General features: G+C 51.5%; 4 annotated features.

Annotated features, from left to right (window-relative positions):
* Positions 11,123–12,115: an enhancer, noted in NCBI's record as "H3K27ac-H3K4me1 hESC enhancer chr7:155628074-155629066 (GRCh37/hg19 assembly coordinates)". NCBI's record gives its function as "activates a minimal SCP1, AML or CMV promoter by ChIP-STARR-seq in naive H9 embryonic stem cells {active_cell/tissue: H9 hESC(naive)}" and the evidence as "EXISTENCE:reporter gene assay evidence [ECO:0000049][PMID:30033119]".
* Positions 15,984–17,183: an enhancer, noted in NCBI's record as "BRD4-independent group 4 enhancer chr7:155632935-155634134 (GRCh37/hg19 assembly coordinates)". NCBI's record gives its function as "activates an origin of replication core promoter dependent on BRD2, P300/CBP, MED14 and CDK7 cofactors, and independent of BRD4, by STARR-seq in HCT116 cells {active_cell/tissue: HCT116}" and the evidence as "EXISTENCE:reporter gene assay evidence [ECO:0000049][PMID:35650434]".
* Positions 21,521–21,668: a silencer, noted in NCBI's record as "fragment chr7:155638472-155638619 (GRCh37/hg19 assembly coordinates)". NCBI's record gives its function as "represses an EF-1alpha promoter that drives an FKBP-Casp9 reporter gene in an ReSE screen in K562 erythroleukemia cells {active_cell/tissue: K562}" and the evidence as "EXISTENCE:reporter gene assay evidence [ECO:0000049][PMID:32094911]".
* Positions 23,629–23,829: a silencer, noted in NCBI's record as "peak6864 fragment used in MPRA reporter construct". NCBI's record gives its function as "represses an SCP1 promoter by STARR-seq MPRAs in K562 erythroleukemia cells {active_cell/tissue: K562}" and the evidence as "EXISTENCE:reporter gene assay evidence [ECO:0000049][PMID:32103011]".

The raw sequence follows: 25,059 nt of genomic DNA on the forward strand, positions 1-25,059 counted from the left end.
CACTTCTCCTCTTGGCCTTTTCAGCGTGAGGATGGCTCACACCAAAGTACACAAGCCAACAGACTGAATCGCAGCTCTCTGTTTGAGCAGTGCCCACACAAAGCCTGCCCTCTGGAGTCCTCCTCCAGGCTCTACCCCGCCATGGTAACCGCTGAATTCGCCGGGCCATGGTAGCAGGCCAAGTATGTGCACAATTGTCCTGGAGTCTCTTCCAGTGGCAGACGGTGTTTGAATGTTGTGTACATGTTTTCTTTCTTATCCTGACATATTTATACCCTAGTTTTGTTTTATTTTGTTTTGTTTTGCTTGGTGGAGAAGCCATGGGGTTAGGAGGTGACGGAGTGGCTGGGAGAGCCTTTGTATCAGATTGGTTAAGAAGGCCGATCTACGGTTCCCAACATTCTACCACCAAGGGCTAGGAGAGTCATCTCCCTCCCGGAAACACACGTCAATGGGCTTGGACGCAATTTCAAGGCTGCATGCCAACGTGATCACGTGGCATTTTGATTCAGCTATTAAGGAAGAAGTAAGTATAAAGACTTCAGATACCTTAGGCAACAGTTCCATAAAGGAGGCAGTAAAACACGTAATTAGGCAAATCAAATAAGGCACGGCAACAGCTTTCAAATATTTAGTCACATATCATTTCCCATTAATTTACTGTGGGCTTAAATGAGGTCTGCATTTTTATAATCCCCTGTAAAGCTCAGAGGCATGGCAGAAGCGTGTGCTTTTAAACACGACTTCCTCACGCCGCAAGGTGTTATGACAATGATGGGATCATTTCATTTGGTGGAAGGGGAAGAACAAGGATGGGATCTTTCAAGGACAGCCCTGGAAAATCCAGGGGTTGCATCAACGTTCTCTTAACTTCAGGTTTGCAGAGCTGCATCCAGAGGAATCCTTGAAGCATTATGGTCTTTTGGTAGCTTAGTCCCTTTCAGTTATGACAGTTTTTCCCAAACCTGCTGTGACGTGACAACTAATCCATCAGTCACCTTTCTTTGTAGAAATAATCAATTCTAATCAGTAATTGCTTTTGGGCAATAGTTCAATCCTGCTGTCATCTCTTGGCTTCCAGCATCATCACATCATCTGAGCAGCTCTAAGGGCAAGAATACATTTCACTGTGACGATATCCAAGCCCAGACAGTATTTTTTCCTGGGCTTAACCATTAGGTTAATACACAGTGCATGTTTCCACACTTTATTCTCAATCCCCCTGGTACAGGAAGGAAGTGTGCTGGGAGTCTGTGTCTTCAGAATGTCAGACATCTGAGTCCCTGAAATGAGTCGTCTTTCTGAGTTTCCAGAGACACGTTTGGTGGCAGGTAGACACACCCTGGGATGATTGAAGTGATTTTTGGGGGAATATTCTGTAAGGTCTTGCACTCAGCACAAGAGGAAAGATTGATTGAGAAGAAAAGGCATTAGGTCAGAGGTGAACCAAGAATCTTATGCAGAGTTTTCAAACCTAAACCCGTATCTACATGGCTAAGCAGCACACTGGAAGGGAAAAAGCCAGCACAAATAGGCGTGGACGCGAGGGGCAGTCTTTGCAAGGACGTGGTCCCTCCCTTTCCTTCCCTGCCTTCACTTGGCTTCCACTCTCTCTTAGAACTGGGCTGCTCTGGAGCCGGGTGCGCTGGCTCATACCTGAAATCCCAGCACTTTGGGAGGTCGAGGCGGGAAGATCACAAGGTCAAGAGATCGAGACCATCTTGGCCAACATGGTGAAACCCCGTCTCCACTAAAAATACAAAAATTAGCTGGGTGTGGTAGCACACATCTGTAGTCCCAGCTACTCAAGACGCTGAGGCAGGAGAATGGCTTGAACCTGGGAGTCGGAGGTTGCAGTGAGCTGAGATTGCTCCACTGCACTCCAGTCTGGCGACAGAGCAAGACTTCGTCTCAAAAAACACAAAAACAAAAACAAAAAAAAAGAACTGGGCTGCTCTGTCCTTCTCTCATCTCAGTGTGTTATCCGGATAGGTCTGGGCTGCTGTATTCCTGAACTACGGAGTTTTCTGTGGTCTCATTTGGTTTTACGATTTCTCAAATTGGAGGTCGAAATATCTTGTATGTCTTATGTACTCAATAATACAGTCCTTAAGAAGTTTAATTAAAATGAGGGATATCTGTTCTTGACTGTTGTCTTAGGTTTGGAATCTCTGTAAGGAATAATGGAAAATTAATGCCATCAGGGCTTTGGAGAGCTGCTTTAAATCAGGTATGACTACCACAGGCTCCTTAGGGATGCCTCACATTGTGGCAGTTTTCCTGACTTTTTCCTTTTTTCTCTCTTTTAAGGTAGGGAAAGAAAAAAATTTCTTCTTCTTTTTTTTTTTTTAAATAGGAAAAACCAAGGCATTTGCTCTGAGTACAAAGGTTTTTAAGATATTTGTTATGAAGGAATAAAAGTCCTATTAAAATATTTATAAATTGAAACAACCTCAGAAGCCACACACACAATTAGGCCTTTCAGCCTCTATTCCAAAAACCAGATAAATCATCATTCAGAGAGCAAAGAGGAAAATCAAAACAAAAACAAAGTGCTCAGAAGCCGACCATGAAACAGGGAACAGAATGTGGTCTAGAAAATGCTCCTTGTCTCTGAGCAGGGCAGAGTCCGCAGACATCCCAGGAAATCTTTGAGTTTCTGACTCATCAAAAAAAAAAAAAAAAAAAAACCCAACCAAACAAAAAAACCCCCCAAAAACAACCAGAAAAGGAAAAGGAAAAGGAAAAGTGTGTATGGTATCATCTCAGGAGGCCGTCATCAAAACTTAGAAGTAAAATGCAAGCCAGGAATCGGATCCAACCCTCTAATGTTCTGGACGAGGAAACCGAAGCTTCTCTAATGCAGGTGCCTCGCTCATGTCAAGGGTTGAGGAGGTTGCGTGGGCAGAACTAGAAAACAGACCCTGACCCTCAATCACAGTGTGAGGTCTCCGTCCACTTGGGCTTCTCTGGTGGGTTCAAAGTCCCGCCCATGAACCAGCCCTAAAATTCAAGGGACCGTGCACCCCGGTATTTTCCAGAGGCCGGAGACATCCGGAAGAAGCGTGTTCTCTGGTTCATGTACCATCATTTATTCCTACTTCCGTTTATTTCACAAGCATTTAGTCAGCTCCTATTGTCTAAGACCATTCCCAGACTGTCTTTTGGTCGAAATGTAACACCCAGTCCTGTGGTTTAAGTAACTCAAGGCAGCGAGTCCTGTCATGAACCACACCAAAGGGGCTCTGAGTCCCTGGAGAGGAAAGCACGGAGTTTTCACACTTGCTTCTGTGCCTCAGGGGTCGTGTGCATTTCTTGGCTGGGGTGCCGTGCACCGTGCAGTGGGCACAAACCTGGAGACCACACCCATCTGTGGCACTGTTGGGATCTCCAGTTCCTCCTGGCAGAGGACTTTCTGTTTTGGCTTCTGTTTGTTTCTGACACAGAGTCCTGGGCAGAGCCATGTTTCTTTTTTGCTTTTTGGAGTGAAAGGTTAGCATTTTCCCATCCCCTTGTCAGTCCCTTCCCTGTGATAGAAGCCCTTCCATGTTCAGGGTGAGAGTGAGGTCCCTGCCTCAAATGAGCAGAGGCCAAGTCAACCCCTTGGGTTGTTGCAATGACAGTTCACAAGCTTAAGGATCTGGCTTAAGTTTTTTTTTTTTTTTTTGTAGTCACCAGAGGATATCTCTTTATTTCCTTTCCAGGTACGTATTAATTGACATGTTACCCATCATCTCTTGTTTGTGCAGGAGAGATGTGGTCCCGGCTTAGCTCAGTCTGCCATATTGTTGCACCTGGGTCTCTGTTGATTTCATTTTCAAGCAGCTCTCTATTTAGTGGCAGAGACGGCTCTTGGCAGCACCTGGCTCTGGGGTCTTTGGCATCCCTAGTAATTTCCCTAAGAGGCTTGGATTTGGCCTTCTTGGTTCACGTGCTTCCTCTGGGCCGGTTACTGTGTGCACAGTTTGGGGTTCTCGCTCTTCTGGCTGGGGCAGAGTGCTTCTCCAGGAGGAGACTTCCAGTGGAAAGCCCTGCCAGGTGGGCACAAAGTCCACAGAGAGACTTTGTAACCAGAAGAAGGAGGTGACAATGTGGACAGGCTGCCACGCTTTGCTTCATTTATTCAACATTGTGGTTATTTTGACTTATCAAGACTGCATAACCACTGTGGAGAACAGTATAGGGTTTCTTGAAAATCCAAAATTTGATCTACCATATGATCCAGTGGTACTAATCTGTTCTCACATTGCTATAAAGAACTACCTGAGCCAGGCACAGTGGCTCACACCTGTAATCCCAGCACTTTGGGAGGCTGAGGCGGGTGGATCACAAGGTCAGGAGATCGAGACCATCCTGGCCAACATGGTGAAACCCCATCTCTACTAAAAAAATGCAAAAATTAGCTGGGCGTGGTGGTGTGTGCCTGTAATCCCAGCTACTCGGGAGGCTGAGGCAACAGAATCGCTTGAACCAGGGAATTGGAAGGTTGCAGTGAGCCGAGATTGCGCCACTGCACTCCAGCCTGGCCACAGAGCGAGACTCTGTCTCAAAAAAAAAAAAAAAAAAACCCAAAAAACAAACAAACCACTATCTGAGACTGGGGAATGTGTACAGAAAAGAGGTTTAATTGGCTCATGGTTCCACAGGCTGTACAGGAAGCCTAGCTGGAGAGGCCTCAGGAAACTTACAATCATGGCGGAAGGCAAAGGGGAAGGAGGCACTTCTTCCATGGCTGGAGAAGGAGGAAGAGAGCAAAGGGGGAGGTGCTATGCACGTTTAAACAACGAGACCCTGTGAGCACTCATTCACTATCATGAGAACAGAAAAGGGGAGCTCCACCCCCATGATCCAATCAGCTCCCACCAGGCCCCTCTTCCAACATTAGTAATTACAAGTAGACGTGAGATTGGGGCAGGGACACAAATCGAAATCATATCACCAGTCATTCCACTCCTGGGCATGTACCCAAAGGAAATGCCATCAATGCCCTCAAGAGCTGTCCACACCCATGTCCACTGCAACACTGTCCACAATAGCCAAGGTTTGGAATCACCCTAAGTGTCCACTGGTGGATGAATGGATAAAGAAAATGCAGTGTATGTGCACAATGGAGTACTATTCAGCCATAAAAAGCAGTGAAATCCTCTCATTTGCAGCAACGTGGATGGAACTGGTGAACATTATACTAAGTGAAATAAATAAGTCAGACACAGAAAGTCAAATATACATGATTTCACCTCTATGTGAAATCTAAGAAAACATGGAACTCATAGTATCAGAGAGTAGAATGGTGGTTACTGGGGGCTGGGGCCTGTAGAATGGTGGTTACTGGGGGCTGGGGGCTGGGGGAATGGGGCGCTGTTACTCAGAAGGTACAAAGTTTCAGTTATCATTGGAGGGTCAACGGGGAGCAGGGTGACTATAGTCGGTAATAAAGTATATCTGAAATTTGCAAAGACGGTAGATCTCAAGTGTTCTTAAGACAGGAAAATGGAAAGCGTGTGAGCTATTGGATGTGTTAGTCAGCTTGATTGTCATGGCCATTTCGCAGTGTGTACTTATACAAAAGACCATGTTGCACGCACTAAATACCTATGATTTTTATATTTCAGTCTTTCCTCCATAAAGCTGGAACACAGAGTGCCCACATGAAGCCTTCAGCACAGAGCCTTGCCTTGCACCCCAAGTCACTCCCGCACCTGGAGCACATGCCAGGCCAGGTGCCAGCAGGTGCACACCCCAGGGCTGCCCAAAGGCCGTCCCCTCCTTCCAGTGAGAAGGGGCCCACTCTCTCTTTCTCTCTGGTGGGCCTCCCCTTCTGACGCCAGTAACTGACTCGTCTCCTGGGCTAGTGCTGGAGGTGGCCTCCTTCCCAGAAGAGCTGAGAGATGCAAGGGAAGCCGGGTCCACGGGGTCCTACCCCGTCCAATGATGACCTAAGCTGTGCAGTCAGGCAGACAGATGCCTTAATGGGGCCCCAGCGCAGTCAGCAGCCGCACCTGGCACGTCCTCTGGGGATGTGGCACTTGGAAAGGAGTGACTCGTAGGAGGATGGGTAAAACACCACCCACTGTGCGTGCCAGGGGAGGAGTCCAAGGCCCTGGATCAGTGAGGCTCTCACCCAGTCCAGCCCTGCACGTCCTCCTTGGGAGGGGTGGGCAAGGGGGACGTGACCTCTGGCATCAATGTATCCACGTGCCTTACAGCAACAGCTCCATCACCACACCCTGCTGGCTGCCCTGTGCTGCCATTTCTGGGCCTCACTGATGCTAAGTTGGAGGATAGTCAGGGAGAGGCCACGTTTGCCAAGTGAAATTGGGAATTACATGAGCGGGACCAAAATCTGGAATTCTCTCTCTCTCTCTCTCTCTGTCTTTTTTTTTTTTTTTTTTTGAGATAGATAGGGTCTTAGTCTGTCATCCAGACTGGAGGGCAGGGTATGATCTTGACTCATGGCACCCCTGACCACCTGGGCTCCAGCCATCCTCCCACCTCAGCCTCCCAGGTAGCTGGAACTACAGGCACGTGCCTGGTTAATTAGGTGGCAGGCTAATTTTTGTGTTTTTTTAGAGGTGAGGTTTTGCCATGTTGCCCAGGCTGTAAATCTGGAATTCTCAGTCAAGGTGGAGGACCTGAGAGAGCTGGGGACATTTGGGAGGGAGGAGTGGGCTGAGCGTGCAGGGGGCAGACAGGGATGGGGTAAGAGGCGGACCCCGGCAGTGAAGTCAGGTTCCGAGGCGAAGGAGCCATCCCGAAATTACCCAGATGAGAAATCTTGTTTCCGAAGCGCCTCTGCGTTCCGGGCACCAAGGGAGAGTGAGTTCTGACCGGGTTGTCGGGGGGTCAGGGACTCTGCCCTCAGCCACTTTGGCTGCTGGTTCTGCCGAGCCACTGCCCGAACAGCACCCCGGATGCACCCGAGGAGGTGAGGCTCTGCGGACCGGGTGCCCTGTGAGTGACAGGGGAGAGGCCCCTGAGGTTTGCACAGTGCCTGTCACTTCTCAAAGCACCTCCTTCGTTCTGGCAATTTAGTGAGGGAGGCTGGGCAGCCGGGGCTGTCCATTTTATAGAGGAGGACACCAAGCCTCAGGGAGGGAGAGGGAAGCCGGTGGAGCCGGGCAGAAGCCTGTGGAGCTGGGTAGAGGCCGGCGGGTTTCCCAGCAGCGGTCTTCTGCATCTTCTGGCTGAGTCCTCCGCTGTCAGGAGACCCCGGCCTGGGCCAGGAGGTCCGATTCTGGGATGCGAACGTGGTGGGGCTGTTGCCATAGATACCGATGTGGTCACCAGCCTGAAACCCTTGAGCCACGGAGAGATCAGACGGTGGTCCCCACTCCTCAGCCTGGAGCCTGGCAGAGACGCTCAAGGAAGAGGGTGGGCTGACCGCGCACGCCTCTCCTTTCTTCATATCCTGCGCGGCTCGGGCGCTGTGCAGGAGGCCTGTGCTCAGCGAGGAGAGAGACAGAGAGTGCAGTGGGAGGAGCGCGGGGTCGGGGGGCTCTGCTTCCCACGGTGCGCCTGGGAGCCTCTTTGCCTCTTGGGGCCTCAGTTTTTCCAAATGTAAAACCAGGGCAGCCCTTCAAGCCCCTGGCCAGTGACACACAGAGACGAGTAGATAAGGACACCAGGGCAGACTGTTCCGAAAGCGGTGAGCCGGCCATTTCAGCGCTGGTTCTGCATGGACTTTCCTCCTATGGAGGCTGGAATCAGCTGGTGCAATCCTTACAATTCTGGTGGGAAAATTCCATCAGGCCTTCTGCAAACACACAAACTGTTTACCCTCACACACCCCATCTCTGCAGGGGCCTCGTGTACTCAGAACGCACCAGTAACCCCCACTTGGACGCTGCTTGCTCTGGAAACATTTCTAACTTGGTTATCTGGCTGCAAACCTCCAGCAGTTTCAGAAATAAAATGACAGAAAGGGGAGGGATTCTTAGAGGTTGACTTCATGAAGGGAAGAGATCGAAAAATGATACAAGCTGGGCGAAGGGACTCCTGGCCAGCAGGCTGGGGACACCCGACCATTCAGGGTGCTCAGCTCGCTCCTGCCTTCAGTCCCGCCAGACTTTGCGATTGTGTAAAGCAAGGAACAGGCACGTGAGGAAGGCAGCTTTGTCCAAAGCGGGCTTCAGTGATGCAGAGAAATGTTGTAATCCTTCTTGAGAAACATTTGCATGCAAAATGGTTGACATACAAGACATTTTAACATTTAGAGGAAGGTTAGTTCCAAGTTTCCAGTATCCTCCTAAGACCGGCGGGAGCTCACATCTCAGAGCTCTTCAGGAACACGAGGTGAGGACCAGCCCCTTTCCCAACCCCGAGGTGGCAGAAGGAGTGAGCTGGAGCCAGAAGTTCCCTGCCCCTTGCCTCCCCGCAGGAGCTGGGCCTTAGACAGCTCCCCAGGAGCTGGGCTGGGAGGAGAGCTGGGGGCAGGGAGGGTGCCTGTGAGGCAAAGCTTCTAGATGTCAAGGAGAAACGGGACTGGGTCAAGGCTCAGCCAGTCTTGAGTGACCCTGGAGAGCTGGGATCTGCTGGTCTGTGGGCCCAGAGATTTTCTCTGCGTCTACTCACCTTCCAGCCCCCACCCTGGCCCTGGCCCTGAGACCTCCCCACATGGATCTCCTGCCTCGGTGCTCCCTGCAGTTGGATGAGCAGCCCCGGTGGTCCTGACAAGGAGTGAGAGCAGTCGCTACCCCGGTGTAGCCCATGCTGCTGTCTTCAGCCCAGCAGGTCAGTCCTGCTCTGTGACTTTGCTGAGATGGGCTTGGCACTTCCTTGGGTCAAATGCTGCTCTGACCCTGCATTTGCTTCAGTTTCCGGGGGAAGAGAATCTTCCAGAGTGACAGAGAAGCGCCAAAGGATGTTGGAGCTGGAAGGAACCGAGGCCCCAGCCAATCTCATCAGGTTTTCAACTTCAGCTGCACGTTAGAATCATCTGGAAAGTTCTAGAAAAATGCCTCTGCCTAGCCTCACTGCCAGAAGCCATGACTTAATTTGTTTGGGATGGAGCCCAGGAATTATCTTCCAGGTGATTCTGATGTGTAGCCAGGGTTGAGTTTCACGGATCCCAAAGCTGTGTGGCTCAGAGTGGGGAAGTGAGTTGGAGGGGGGGCTGCGGCGCAGGCCTCTGATGGCCTCACACCCTCTGCCCGCCATGGCTTGCTTCTCAGAGACTGTGGGTTTAGGCTATGGAATAATTTTCAAAAATACCAATTCTGGATCTTGCAGGCATTTAGAGTCCCCCAAACAATTTCTTTGGTGAATCCTGAAAACAGCCTTTTTTACAAACTTCTGTGCATCTCAGCAGAAACTAACAGCAAAATGGAACTTGGCTTAAGCTCTGGAGACATTTGAAATCTTGGCTAGTTGCACAATGATGTCTCGTGGCATTTCGGCGTGCTGGGGATCCTTTGTGGGCACGGCTGCGGTGAGGCTGCTCTTTGGGGGCTCTTTGACTGGTTGTCCAGCCGCACCTGCTGGGAACCTGAGGCCGAGTCTGCACCACCCCCATCGGAATTCCCAGGCAGTGCCCTGGGAACCTGCCTGCCTCTGCGCTGAGTGGTGACAGCTGGTGGGTTGTCCCTCCCATCACGGAAAGCTGCTCCCAAGAAAGCCTGAGGCTTTGGACACGCAGTGGCGTTTCTGATGGAGGGTGCCAAAGCCTGGGGACACCCGCTTCCTCCTGAAAAACCAAACGGTCTTTGGTTCTGCTGCCTGGGAAGTCCAGCCATGCCTCCACCCTGTCCTCTTTGGGGCCGAGTGGGGAGCATGCAGCTGGGGGCCAGCTGACACATCTGGGGTGACAGAGGTCTCTGGCAGCTGGCATTCTAAAGGCCAGAGGTTTGCAAGTGCACTGTGAGTTTCCTGCTCTGTTCTTTAAGGAGAGCTTGGTTCTCAAAAAAGTGCCATTTGCTAGATGAGGCTCAGTGTGGCTCAGTGGGGATGGAGTGCTCTGGAAGGACCTGGGGGGATGGGAGGACGGGGGCTGCCCAGTGGGCCAAGCCCCATTCATAGACTGCTAGGCCACTCCTTAAGCCCATAGCGGGAATTGGTTGGTGGTTTTCTGGGTCCATGAGCTGTCACTTAAAAAAAAAAAAGATTTTTCAAGATGTAATACGCTCACCATACATTGACCCGTTTGAATTGTATAATCCAGTGGTTTTCAGCATATTCACAGATACGTGCAGCCATCACCACAGTTTCGGAGCTATTCATGACCTCCAAAAGTAACCTTGGGCTCTAACCCTCCCTTCCCCCGGCCTCTCCCAACAGATCCACTCTCTGGCTCTGCAGGTTTCCCTCGTCTGGACATTTGGCATGAATGAAATGGCACAATGCAAGGTCCCTGTGGCAGCTTCTTTAGAACAGTCACACAGCACGATGCTTCCAGGCTCGCCTGTGTTGTGGTGTATGATGGGGCTCCTTGTCACTTTGTGGCTGAGCGACACCACAGGGCACGGAGGAGCGTTTTGTGTGTCCGTTTGTCCACAATGGATGTTTGTGTTTTCTCCACTTTTGGCCATTGTGAGCCGTGCTACTGTGGCTGTGATGTGTGCAGCTCTCCTGGGTGTGTGTCTAGGTGTGCATTCCTCGACTGGAATCTGCATTCGCTTCGCAGGAGCCAGGTCAACAGCGGAGGCAGAGTGAGGGGTGAGGCCTCCCTCAAGGGTTGGGTGGTGAGAGGGGAAGGCCCGGGGCTGGTGGCCGTTCTCAGAGTTTCCCTCCGCAGAGCCAGCCCTTTATCATGTTGCTCTGTGAAGACAGTGACTGTCTCTGAGCCCCTGCCCTTAGTCAGGGTCTCTGAGTTCATTCCTATAGTTCTTTTTTGGTGGGAAGGAGCAGTCAGGGTCTTGCTCTGTTGCCCAGGCTGGAGTAAGTGGTGCAGTCTTGGCTCACCGCAGCCTTAACCTCCTGGGCTCAAGCGATCCTCCTACCTTAGCCTCCCAAAGTACTGGGACCACAGGTGCACACGCCAGGCCTGGTTAATTTTTTTTTTTTAATTTTATGTTTCGCAGAGATGGGGTCTCACTATGTTACCTAGGCTGGTCTTGCACTCCTGGGCTCAAGCGATCCTCCTGCCTTGGCCTCCCAAAGAAATGGGATTATGGGCATGAGCCACTGTACCTGGCTCCTTCCTATAATTCTTCCAATTTCTGTATATAATAAAAATTATTTACAAAACGATATGTTTAGAGATTATACGTAGGAAATGACTCCTATATATATAATTTCCTGGAATTCTCATAACTCCTTTAGTTTATCTTCTGAAATGATGGACAAAAACACACTCTGAGGACAGACTTCTGAGCCACAGGGAAGGCCCTGGTGCCTGCAGATGGTGACGACACAGGCGAGGCCCAAGGGGGATGGCATGGGGCCCGAGCTGGGCGGCTGCCCTCTCTCCCTGAGCTCAGGGTCCCCTGGGCCCAGTCACTTCCAGTCCAGGCTCCTGGTCTATGCTCCTAGGAAACTTGCCAGTGCTCCTTGTGTCTCTAGGCCTCAGTTTCCCTAGCTTTGAAACAGCACACCCGTTGCCATTTGACGAGTGTGTATCTTCACATCTCTCATGTCCCCACTGCAAGAACCTGCCCACACCTCCTCAGCATCCCTAGTTCCAGCCACGCCCAGGTCACCCTCCCCAGGCACCTGTGACACCACCTGTGGGTAGGAGGCCACGGGCTCAGGTTCTGGGAGCAGCCCTTGGTCCAGGGCAGACGGATGCTGGAGGATAAGCCCCAGTCCCTGGTGGGCTGACCCAGCTGTGTCCTGTGCTGATCACCAGAGCTCCTGGCGGGACAGAGCCCCACTGTCTGCGCCAGGGACCTGCCTGTCAGTCACCCTGCATCAACTCCTGGGGTCACCGCCCCACAACTGCTTGCTCTGAAATCCCTGTCTTAGGAAACTGAGTTGAGACAAGGATTCCTTTAAAAATCCCTCCTTGCCTTTTGTTGCTCGTGGACAGCAGGGGTTTGGGGTGATTGCATCTGAATAAACTTCCCTTGGCTGTTCCTGCCCGGGCCCCGGGCTTCTCTGATCTGTTGTTGTGGAGACCGATTCTTCTTGCCCTTTGTGGTTGAGTCAGGTAAGGGAGGCCTGTTTATCCATGAACACACACAGCGCTTGGCACAAACATTAATGGGTAGAGACAAGGTGTGAGCGCAGCTCTGTCGGTGACTGTCACCTGGGGTGGAGCACGCCATCCTCCTTGAGCCCCACGGAGTCACACGGAAACACAGGGCAGCTGCACAAGATGAACTTGGACAGGGAGGAAATCTGTCAGGGCAGAACTCACCGTTGTGTGAACCCACACGTGCCCCTCTCCATCCCCAGATGGCAGGAAGTGACTTGGGCAGGGTGGCCTTGAGCTGCGAGCCCGGGGTCCTGACCTCAGGTGGGCACCCGACGTCCTGGTGGGTTTGAGTTTCCTCCTCTGAAAAACAGTCCTTGCACTTTGTCATCCAGTTGGAGGCTCATCTTGGATCAGACGTCTCTCAGCTACACAGGGCGGGTTGAAGGCCCTGTGTGTGGGGACTGGCCAGCAAACCCCCCTGCCAGGCTTGATGCCCACTGGTGCATGGCCCGGGCTGTAGAGGGCGCGACAGGGCTGGTGTCTGGAGGGGCTGGTGTCTGCTGAGGGGCCGGCAGCGGCCAGGGGCCACCAGCAGGCTCTGGCCCTCGGTAGCTGGACACGGGCCTCTGGCTGTGTAGCTCAGGACTGGTGTGAGGCTGCGGTCTCCGGGGCTGTCTCTCCTCCTCCGTCTAGGGAGGGGACGCTGTAGCACAGCAGGCTGGAGAGGTCTGTGGAGGCTGCTGTGGAATGGGGAGGGTCCTGGGGAGGAGCCTCTGTGTAACATGCCTCCCAGATCCCACCATGTCCCCCAACCCCAACTCCCAGCCCTGGTGTAGGCACACAAAGGGTATTTAATAAATACTTGTCAAGCGCTTGATGAATTTTAAGTGATGTCCCCAAACCTCACCAATGAAGACATCACTGGAACACCATGTGAGTGATTCATCTGTCTCTATGTGGTTTTAGCAGGGTGGTCTGGGACACTGGAGTTGCCTTGACTGTTTAGCCTGGGAGAACACATTTTCTTCTTCACGTTGGCTACCTGGGCCTTGCTGGCATAGACGGCTTTGAGTCACAGTGTGTACATGACAATGCCCATTTCAACTAAGAGAAACCCAATCACAGAGCCAGCTTTTTGCTGGAGTCTTTGTCAGCTAATTGTTCAAATAATGACTCTTCTCAACTTTGCTTTTCTTTTTTAAAATTTTTATTTTTATTTATTTTTTATATTTTTGAGATGGAGTCTCATTCTTTTGCCCAGGCTGGAGTGCAGTGGTGTGATCTTGGCTCACTGCAACCTCCACCTTCAGGGTTCAAGTGATTCTTCTGCCTCAGCCTCCTGAGTAGCTGGGATTACAGGTGCCTGCCATCACACCTGGCTAATTTTGTATTTTTGGTAGAGACAGGGTTTCTCCGTGTTAGCCTGGCTGTTCTCGAACTCCTGGCCTCAAGTGATCCACCTGCCTCGACCTCCCAAAGTGCTGGGATTATAGGCATGAGCCACCGCGCCTGGCTGACTTTGCTTTTCATAAAGGGTGACAGAGGCCAAGACTCTTCAAACATGCTCACTTTTTGGGCACTGGGGCCCCTGCATTGCCATCCAATTTCTTTCCCTGTGATGCTGGGATGGGGCTTAGGAGGGAGATCCAGTGTGGTCTCCCCTGATCTCAGTGACCTTGGGAAAGCCACTTCTTAGCTACATGCTCTTATTGTAAAGGGGGAGAGTGTCCCTTTACTATCCCACAGGTTTGCATGTGGCTCAAGGAATGCATACACTGGGTGTAGGAGTGAGATAATCAGTATAGAAGAGAATTGACCAGTACAGAGAAATAGAACTAATGCCGTGCTCATGATTACTGTTAATGGTTGTGGGACCTGCTTACTTGTTTTTTGATGCAGGTTGTCTTGGAGCACAAACAAATACAGTCAGAATTTGCTCTTCTTTTCTGTTTTCTTTTTTTTTTTTTTGACCGAGTTTCAATCTTGTTGCCCAGGCTGGAGTGCAATGGTGCGATATCGGCTCACTGCAACTTCCGCTTCCCAGGTTCAAGCGATTTTCCTGCCTCAGCCTCCTGAGTAGCTGGGATTACAGGCATGCGCCTCCACGCCCGGCTAATTTTGTATTTTTTTAGTAGAGATGGGGTTTTACCATGCTGGTCAGGCCGGTGTTGAACTCCTGACCTCAGGTAATCTGCCCTCCTCGGCCTCCCAAAGTGCTGGAATGACAGGTGTGAGCCACCGCGCCCGACCTTTCTTATGTTGTTCATGATAGTGTGGGTCTTCTTTCAAAGCAGTATTAAGTGCTTCAGATTTTTGGGAGGTGAGACAGAAAGTTGTGGTTCAGGATGTCTCAAAATGATGGTTCTGGAAAGCACTGTAGCTCTGTGACTGAACTGAGAGGTTCCTAGAGAAAATAGAGTGGCTTTGGTTGTTTTCCGGAATCATTTGTGATAATAAAGGTTTAAAGCTCAATGAACTGAATTAGAAATATAAGTTAATGGATGTAATTCCCTCCACGCTAAGCTTATGACCCATGGAATTTTCTTAAACTGTGGCATCTCTTATCAAGTGTTATCAGATGACAAAAATAAGTGAACACATGAAGTGTGGTAAGTACTAGGTGAGAATCTTTCCAAAAACAATTATGTTAGGTTCTTAACCTAAGTTAGGTGACTTATTTTTGGTGGACACACGTCTTTGTGGCTATGACTGATTGTATACAAACTTATAAAGTGAAACTTTCAATGAGAAAACCATTTTAACTCCTATAACTGCATTAGATCAGTGCATTTGTCATGGTAGTCTTAAAAACTGCCTTGTCTATGACAGCTCTTTTGTGGGGAGGGCATGAAAGTGGGAGGACTCGGCACTGAATTCCAGGGTCACCACGAAGCCCAGTAGCTCTCCTATTCTTCTGTGGTTAAGGATTTAGGGTCAGACACATGAGCTCATTTCAGTGGGATACTGGAAGCCAAGCTCCAAGTCATAGTGCAGATGGCTTATTATAAAGTTACAGCAGAGATATGGGAAACGAAGAGTGTGAATCAGGCTTCTCTGAAGTCAGCAGTTCTTTACTTACTGTATCTTGATGATGGTAATCTGGATGAAGCTACGCAAATATGCTAAGCGAAGTCATTAATTTTGGTGATCTGGAGGGCTGTGGCCATCTCGGAACCATTACCTCCGGGGACTATTACCCAGTTCCTGGTGAGGGAGGCTGACTTTTGGGTACCACACATCACAGGAGGGCAGAACCTGCTCGATGTGCAGGTGCAGCACTGGGTTTGCTCTTCAGACAGATTCTCTGCTGCGATCGCAGGACTGTTTTATGATGGTATCCGTCGTGCTGTCAAAGAAGAAATCTTCTCTCATTGCTCAGTATACAAACGGCTGGGATTTCCACTGGCACATGTTCCTGTTTACCTGAAGACTGTTTTCCCCTGAACTCTGATAAAGTTCATTTGCAGCTATGTGCAGAGACAGGCCAAACTTCTAATTCCCAGCATGCTTTAATGCTCATATACTAAGCTCTGCTCTCAGCTAAGAGGACCTTTGCCGTGTAGAGGCTTTGGTGAGGAGAATCAGAGGTCGGATGGTAGAAACGACCAAGGAGTCTTGAGAAGATGTTCCTTCCAGAAGTTAGCAACCACCACCGGTTCCCTGTCCTGGAAGCTTCCTGCAGCTGTTTCCCTTCTTGTCATAGAAAACTGGAAGAGTTTATTGGAATTTGTGAGCAGTTTTCTGCTTAGAGTTCACAGACTCTCAAAGTGTATTTTGAATGCATGTGCATTTCTGCCGGATTCAGCTAGGTCCTATTTTAAACAGATCTGAGACATAATCAAAACAAAACGTATCTATTTGAAGGTATATTTGCTTTCAAAAGGGATGGGCTAGTAATAGTAGACTCCCCAGTGCATTTACTAGTGAGTCTGTTAGCTCTCCGAGGCTTCAAAACAAAGTGTGAGATGTGCCAGCGAGCAGGCACACACACACACACACACACACACACCTAGCAAGGAAAGAACACCGATTTTTCTTTATCCAATACACTTGACCACACACATCCCCATGAGCGCTTTTTCCTTCAAAGTCCTCACCTCAGGAAGCCGAGCTCTTCTGTAGTTTGACCGTGCTGGACAGCTCATTGTAGTCACTGCATTTGGCTTCTGATATCTCTGGTCGCTTCAGAAGATGAAATTCATCCTTAAAGGACAACTCTCGGTCTCTTCTGAGGATATCTGAAAAGCGTACTTCAGATTCTGAACCCAGGTGTTGACGGCTGCATGACTGGAACGGGAGCCTGTGTGGAAGGACAAACCTCTTCAGAAGGAGTGGCCCTACCTGTGTAGAGAAAGTCCAAGTCTGTGCTGTTGTCAGAACTGAGTGTGTTTGTTCCACGCGGGCACCTGTCCCCATCGATACGAAGGCTGGAGCCTCAGAGATGGAACGTAACTCACACGGTCACTTAGCTGGCTCAGTCGTCTCCAGGTACCTCGGCGCCTTCTGGACTGCCCTTGCGTTGGATTTTTCTGCCTTTTTTGACAAGTGACCCTTGAAAAATTATCTCACTTTTAGGTTTTCTTATGTCATCTCTGGCAAGCTGGCTTCTGGGTTACATGGCATTGGAGTGCTGCCTGCTTGGCCTGGTTTCATCGAAGACCAGTTCTTGGCTTTGTGGACTAAGCCCTATTCCTCCCTGAAAGGTGAGTGATGTCCCGTTCTTTCCTTCCTTGCCTGCCCCAAAGGGAAGACGATGCAATCCCGTGGGCACATGTGTCTCAGGATGAAGGTCCACGTGCTGACCAATATGTGCAGACAATAGACCACGCCTGTGTTGACACTTTTATTCCTCACCCACGGTGTGCGTGTGTTTCTGTACACCCTGGGTGCTGTTGCCCATCTTCAGTAGTGACCAATTTGTCACTAAACAGCATTCTGTTTGGTTTGCATGAACTGGCAGTTAAACTGTCCTGGTTTTTACAGTTTTGTCTCTTAAGGCCGACTGCCAATGTTTTGCTACCCCTTTGGTTCAGTGACAGCCCCCAGGGCTGTAGCGGCTGAGAAACAGGAGGGTGGAGGTTATATCCCTGGGACGTTAGCTTGGCAGGTGCTCACCCTCTGGTGTGTCTTCACCTGTACTTTCCTCAGCCTCTTCAGTTGTTTTTTTTTTTTTTCTTGAGACAGTCTCCCTCTGTCACCCAGGCTGGAGTGCAGTGGCATGATCTCAGCTCACCGTAACCTCCACCTTCTGGATTCAAGCAATTCTTCTGTCTCAGCCTCCCAAGTAGCTGAGACTACAGGTGCATGCCATCATGCCTGGCTAAATTTTGTATTTTTAGTAGAGACAGGGTTTTGCCATCTTGGCCAGGCTGGTCTCAAACTCCTGACCTCAGGTGATCCTCCTGCCTCGGCCCCCCAAAGTGCTGGGATTACAAGCGTGAGCCACTGTGCCCAGCAGCCCCTTCAATTTTTGAGGAAAATCATTAATTTTTATTCTTGGAAGAACTTCACCTTGGAAGTGGAAAAGTGAATTCCTATCATAGCCCACAGATCCTACCTGTGTCCTCAGTACCATGCTCTGTCCTGGGTGTGAGGATGTGGGCCAGAAATAAGTTGCCAGCATCGTTTCCACCTCGTTTGATATTAAATCATCTGCAGTAAGATGGGAGAAGCTGCGGTGGGCAGACATTTCCTTTCTCCCTCATCCTCCTGTGTTACAGATATCTTGGAATGACGTCCTTCCTCTCCCCGATGACATGTCAGGGTAGCAGGAAACCAGCACCTTTCCCCTTAGAGCTATTTCCTTCTTCCCCAACCACAGGTGTTTACCAAGTGTCTACATTATGGTGGTGATGGAGGTGGAGGATACATAAAAAACAAATAGTAGGGCCGGGAGCGGTGGCTCACCCCTATAATCCTAGCACTTTGGGAGGCTGAGGTGGGCAGATCACGAGGTCAGGAATTTGAGACCAGCCTGACCAACATTGTGAAATCCGTCTCTATTAAAAATATAAAAATTAGCCGGGTGTGGTGGCGTGTGCCTGTAATCCCAGCTACTCAGGAGGCTGAGGCTGGATAATTGCTTGAACCCGGGAGGCGGAGGTTGCAGTGAGCTGAGATCGCACCACTGCACTCCAGCCTGGGTGACAGAGTGAGACCCTGTCTCAAAAAGAAAAAAAAAAAGTCATTTCTTTGTTTTGGCCCACACAGAGCTTAGCTCCTCCTTCAGGAGTAAAGACTGCGTGCACCAAACGCTGATTTGTGTAACATCAACAACAAGCGCGAGGGCTTTCGGGGCCCAGGGCAGGAGGAGTGACGTCCTGCGGGGGCTAGGACAGGAACTTCATGGAAGGGTGGTCAGCACTGAGATGGGGGCAGGCCAGGGCAAAGGAGATGCCAGAAGCAGGGAGTGAAGAGGGAGTTCAGGGCCTCAGGTGAGGGCTCCTTTCCGTGCAGAACGGGCCAAAGAAACACATCCCAGACTCACTGACCAGGGAGGACCGAGGACACCAGGCCAGGACCCTCTGTCCCTCATGGAGCCATTGCCTACAAATGTATCCAGGAGACAACAGTGACACACATGAGATGTCCTTCAAGTGAAACTGTTCGAGATTCCCCAGAGGAAATCTTCACGGAGACCCCAAGAAGCGGCTGGGCCCAGCTTACCTTCATCCACGTCTCAGGTCTGGGAGCTGCAGACATAGCAGGTCAGGGCAGAGTAGGGGCTGACCTTGGTGTCCTCAGCGTTCAGGGGCGCGTCTGTGAGTTGTTTTGTTTTGTTTTGTTTTGGCATAGGCTCTGTTTTACACTTACGGACGGTAAGCCCATGAGACACCCCTGTTCTCAAGGGCGGGGACCAGGCCTGCCCCCTGGCAAGGTCCTCATGCTTAGAACTCAGCCGCTTAGCACAGGTTGAGTCTCCCTTATCCAAATGCTTGGGGCTGCAGTGATTTGGATTTCCGACTGTTTTGGATTTTGGCATATTTGCATAAGGGATATCTTGGGGATGGCACCCAAGTCGAAACCCAAAATTCATTTATGTTTCATATGCGCTGTCTATACGCAGCCTGAAGGTAACAGGTAACGTGTCTCCCCTCAGGGACGCTGCAGCAAGTGTGTGTTGTGCGCCTGAGTTTCGAGCTGTGCGTGGAATTTTCTGCTCGTGGCCTTGTGACGGTGCTCGGAAAATTTCCGATTCTTGAGTATCTCAGATTTCAGATTTTCAGGTTAGGGAAGTTTCACTTCTCAGCAACTGTCTGTGGACCCGAGGCCTGTGGTGTGGGGGCATGGAGAGGCTGGCACCTGCAGGGCCTGGTGTCCGCGGGGCCTGGTGTCTGCGGGGCCTGCTGGCCTAGGCCAGGGCTGTGGGGTTCCTGGGGGGGACATGAGTAGGATGAACTCAACTGATGTGCTCCATCAGCACCTGCTGGACATTTTCCCAAGAAAAGAGACCGGGAAGGGATGAGAGAAAGCATCCAGAATGGGGCAAGCGTCCCCTGGGGTCAGAGTGTGGACGAGCAGTGTCGGCCAACCCACACTGCACCCAGGCCAGCTGGCAAGGGGTCAGGTCCACAGAAGGACATGGGGGACGGGCTGCCCCTGCGTGTGGTCAGTGCTTATTCCTCAACTCAGAAAGCCTGGGGGACGTGAGCCCGGCACTCATGTGGTGGGCTTAGCCCTGCTGAGTGGTGCTGGCCACCTTATGGGGACTCTCAGGTGACTTCTGGGGTGCTGGGTGGGGAACTCCATGAAGAGTGGCTGGCCCTGACTTCTGGCAGGCCAGGCCCTGTGTAGCTGGGGTCCTGGGCAGGCCATCGCCCCCTCACCCCACAGGCCTTGCCCTCCTTACCCTGAGACCTGATCCCTGGCCGGCATGAGGACTGCACCCCCGCCGCCTGCCTGTGGATGAAAAATGTCTCTGATGTCCAGCTAGGGGCCTCCCTCGAGCTGGCGGCATCCTCAGGCCACTTCCTTAAGAGCTCTGGACGGCCCCAGGAGCCCAGCAATGATTAACCACAGCGTTCCTGGGTGTTCCCTCCGGGTCCCCCTCCCCCGCTCTTGAACTGGAGCCGGAAGGGCGTTGGGAGGCGGCATGGCTTGGAAGAACATGAGCGGGGCCCAATTCCAGTTTCTCCACTTTCTGACTCTGAGAATCTCTGGAGGAAGTTACTAAACCAAAGCTGCCCTAACATGGGTCTGTGTCGAAGACCCAGGGACCTGACAGTGGCAGAGACTCAGAACATGCACCAAGAGTTCGGGCAAACCTCCAGACGTGCTTCCATGGAAGATCCCGGGCAGCTGGGACTTCAGCGCCCCCGAGCTCCACGAGGGCATGGAACCTGCTTGGGCCTTTTCCTATCTCTCCGTAGGCACTGGGGATGTTTCCCCGCTGAGGTCGCCATTCTGCTCTTCCTAGCGGCCCGTCCTCCCCATGCCCCAGCCCGAGCACATCACTCCCCGTCCCCTCCTTGCCCCTCTCCGCCCATGGCCTGGGACAGCTCCTTGGGTAATGCAAGTCTCCTGAACCCTGGACAGAATGGTCAGGTTACCTTTGGGGCTCTCCGGGCAAGAACTCTCTCTCCCTGGAATTGGAGGCCTGTCTTCCTGGTGGGGCCCTGCCTGTCCCCAAGGCAGCATCTGGAGCCCATGTCTCAGAGGAAGCCCCTCCTGTGTAAGGCAGATGCACACCTGCACTTAAGCCAGGTGAGGGTCCTGGGTCCAGACACCTGCTTCCCTTCCTCACCTCCCGATTTCTATCTGTGGTCACAGAGAGAGAGAGGGGTCCAGGTTTTCCAGTTTTTGGGTTTTCCCCGCTAGAAACCTGGAAGTGAATGCAGGCTGTCCACAATTCACAGGTCTGGGAAGAGAAAGGCCATTCCACGTGGCTTTGCATGGGTTAGTTGTCTTCACCACATCCCTATTTGGTCGTTACTAGTAGATTTCTTCTGTGAGCGGGAATCTGGGGCTCAGGGGTCCTCCCACTTGCCCAGGTGCCTCACCGTGAGCTCCCGGGGGTAGACCCGGACTTCCTGCTCAGCAGGACCAGCTCTTTCACAGGAGGATGATGGCGCCCGACGGGTCCTGCAGCATCTCTTATCGGGTCTGGCAGCCCGGTCCCCTGGGGATGAAGGCTCCTGACTCTCACCTAGGGGCACAGCTCCCCGGCACCCCTGATTTTCCTGCTTTTCAGAACAGTCGCCCTCACATGCAGTGCGGGGCTCGTTGGACATTCTCTATTCTTTTCCCTGATAGCCTCTGTTTGTCCAGGGACTGCAGCCCTGTCCCTCAATACATAAAATGTCCAACAAAATTAATAACTTTCCTTCTATAACTACAACCAGATATGCTCTCACACCTGAACTTCAACATAATTTTACCTATACTCAATCTTTACCACCTGCATGTGAACCATAAACCAAAACACTGGATTCAAGTAGTCTCCTAAAACCCATCTAAAAGACCACTCCCGGACTCCCCGACTGGAGGCCTCAGGCTGTAGTTCTCAATAAGACTTCTAATAAAACTAACTTTAAATCTTTGGCCAGGTGCAGTGGCTCCTGCCTGTAATCTCAGCACTTTGGGAGGCCAAGGCGGGCGGTGAAACTCCATCTCTACTAAAAATATAAAAAATTAGCCGGGCATGGCAGCGTGCACCTATAGTCCCAGCTACTCGAGAGGCTGAGGCAGGAGGATGGCGTGAACCCAGAAGGCGGAGCTTGCAGTGAGCCGAGATTGCACCTCTGCACTCCAGCCTGGGCGACAGAGTGAGACTCTGTAAGAAACAAAACAAAACAAAACAAAACAAAAAAAACTAACTTTAAATCTTTAAAAGCTTATGTTTTTTTCTTTAATCAACAAAGGTAATATGTAGTTTTAGAAAAAATAGAGCCAGGTAAAGACCTGGGTATGCTTGGGGTAGTGAGATGATGCAAGCTGCATGAGGCATCTGGATGGGACCTTTGAGAAGACGCCGACTGAGCAGAAGGGGAAGCCGGGGTGTGTGTAGTGAGCCTGGCAGAATTCTGGGGGAGCATTCTGGGAGGAGGGGTGGTTCATGCAAAGGCCTGTGGCAGCGTGGGCTTGGTAGGGGTGTGCTGAGGGAGAAGAGGTTGGAGAAGTGCTGGGGCAAATCTGTAGGACCCTGGAGTCCACTCTGGGACTTCTGCTCTGACGCTGAGAGAAGTGGGGTCCTTGGAGGGTTTTGGCAGAAGAATGATCTGACTTATGCTTTAACAGGATCAGTTTGGAGCTGTGTTGAGAACAGATTCCAGGAGCTTGGATGAAAGCAGAGAGACCAGTAAAGCATGGAAAGATGTCTTGGACCTGGGTGGACTAGGTGGATGGGTTGGAGAATATCAGAGTGTCTGGTCGTGGAGACGTTGTGAAATGCAGACGTTGTGAGGTGGAGACATTGTGAGGTGAGAGACCCTGTGAAGTGGGAGACGTCTCCAGATGGGAGATGTTGTGAGGTGGAGACCTTGTGAGGTGGAGATGTGAAGTGGAGATGTTGTGAGGTGGAGAGGTTGTGAGGTGGAGACGTTTTGAGGTGGATACATTGTGAGGTGGAGAGGTTGTGAGGTGGGAGATGTTGTGAGGTGGAGACGTTGTGAGGTGGGAGATGTTGTGAGGTGGAGACGTTGTGAGGTGGAGAGGTTGTGAGTTGGAGAGGTCGTGAGGTGGAGAGGTCGTGAGGTGGAGACGTTGTGAGGTGGCAGACGTTGTGAGATGGGAGATGTCGTGAGGTGGAGAGGTCGTGAGGTGGAGAGGTCGTGAGGTGGAGAGGTCGTGAGGTGGAGACGTTGTGAGTTGGAGATGTTGTGAGGTGGAGAGGTTGTGAGGTAGGAGACCGGGCGGTTCCTCTTCACAAGACCACAAGGCTGGCTGTTGGCTCTCAGGGCACCATCTGCCGACACAGGGGCTGACGCATCTTTACTTGGGAAGAAGGACACACTGTGGGGGGTGATGTGGGGGGCTCAGAGGGGAAGGAAACACTGTCTCGAATGTCAAGGAGTTGATTATAATGTAGCAGAGCAATCAGAGATTCGCTGAGGAGACTGTGAGACGGAGCCCAGGTCCCGGGGAGAGCCGTGACTGCAGGGCCGAGGGCGAGGGTGGGGGTCCAGACCACGTGGGTCTTTGTGGGTTGGGAAAGGGTGCTCACCTTTAAACAGCTTTATTGAGATATAATTCACAATACTATACAATTCCCCCATTTAATGTGTACAATTCAATGGTTTTTGTTACATCGTTTTATTAACTTACGAAACATTTAGCAAAATATGGATAACAAAATTTGCCCTTTAAGACCATTTTTAAGTGTACAACTCCGTGGCATTAATTGCATTCACAACGTTGTGAAACCCACTATTTACTTCCAAACCTTTTTCATCACCGCAAACAGCAGCTCTGTACCTATTAGGGAAGACCTCCCCACACCTTCCTCCCCGCAGCCGTGAGAACCTCGAGCCCGCCTTCTCTGTCTCTGGATTTTAGATATTTCATCTGAGTGTAATCACGCAGCGTTTGTTCTTTGGTGAGTGGCTTCCTTCACGGAGCATAAGGTCCTCAAGACTCACCCGTGTTGTGGGTGTTGTGGCGGGATGTCAGAATTTCCTTCCTTTTGAAGGCAGAATGACATTCCTCTGTGTGTGGCCGCATTCTTCGCCCATGGGTCCCTGGATGGACACCTGGGTTGTTTCCCCGCCTTGGCTGCTGAGGATGCTGCTGCTCTGAGCACTGGGAAGGCTTTAAAGCCACGGAAACGGAAAAACGGAGTGTGTTCAGGGAAGCGCGGACAGATCGCCCGCTGGTGAGGCTCTGCGTTCAGGAACAGAGGGTGTTTCTCAGGTAGGAGGCAGGTGTGTGGGACACGCTTCTGCAGTCCTGCAGGGAGTCTCTGCAAGGGCCTGTGGGAAGAAGGCCCTGGCAGGAGGCCCTGAGGCCTCAGGGAAGAACAGGAGGTGCCTGGAGCTTTCCTGCTGCCTGCACAGGCACAAGTCCCTCCCTCAATGTTGGGAGAGCAGGGGACCTGCACCTCCCTCCTTCCCTGCCCGCTCTCCAGCCTCCTGTCTCCTATTCTCTGGTGCCCCCAGGCCTGGGGCTCTTAGTGTGTCCCTCCCCTCCCCTCGCCTCCCCTCCCCTCCCCTCCCCTTGCCTCCCCTCCCCTCCCCTCCCCTCCCCTCCCCTCCCCTCCCCTTCCCTTCCCTTCCCTTCTCTTTTTGAGAGTCTTGCTCTGTTGCCCAGGCTGGAGTTCAGTGGTGTGATCTCGGCTTACTGCAACCTCCGCCTCCTGGGTTCAAGTGATTCTCCTGTCTCAGCCTCCCGAATAGCTGGGATTACAGGCACCCGCCGCCATGCCCGGCTTATTTTTGTGTTTTTAGAAGAGATGGGGTTTTGCCATGTTGGGCAGGCTGGTCTCAAACTCCTGACCTCAGGTTATCTGCCTGCCTTGGCCTCCCAAGGTGCTGGGATTACAGGCATGAGCCACTGCACCCAGCCTGGGTCTCCACTTTCATTGACCCACCCCTCTTCTACTTGGCTCAGAAGACCAGGGTTGCCCCAGGAATTCCTGCCACATCCCTCAGTGTCCCCTCCCCGTCTTCTCTTCCTCTGCCCATGTGACAGGTCTCGCGTGTCCACCACGGTCCTGGGGTCCTGGCTCTCCCACCGTCACTCCGAGTCCAGGGCTCTCTGCTGTCTGTCAGAAGGATTTATGGTTGTAGGGGTGAAGGGACAGGGTGTGACACGGATGTAGCTAAAGGGGAGGAGATATGTTGCAAGTCCCACAGCTGTTCCCAGGGGCTGGGAGGGCATATGCTTCCTTTAACAGGTGCGTAGTTCACTCTTAATGCCCACTGTGCCTCGTCAATCCGATAAAAAAAAAGGCAGTTATCCTCCTAAAGACACTCTTGGAAGTGTGGGGCTGTCCCACTGGCCTCCCTCCTACTCTGAGATGGGATTTTCCGGGTGGCTTCCTCCGCAGGAGTGAT

This window comes from Homo sapiens, chromosome 7 (genome assembly GCF_000001405.40).
Source record: "Homo sapiens chromosome 7, GRCh38.p14 Primary Assembly".
Taxonomy (NCBI): Eukaryota; Metazoa; Chordata; class Mammalia; order Primates; family Hominidae; genus Homo; species Homo sapiens.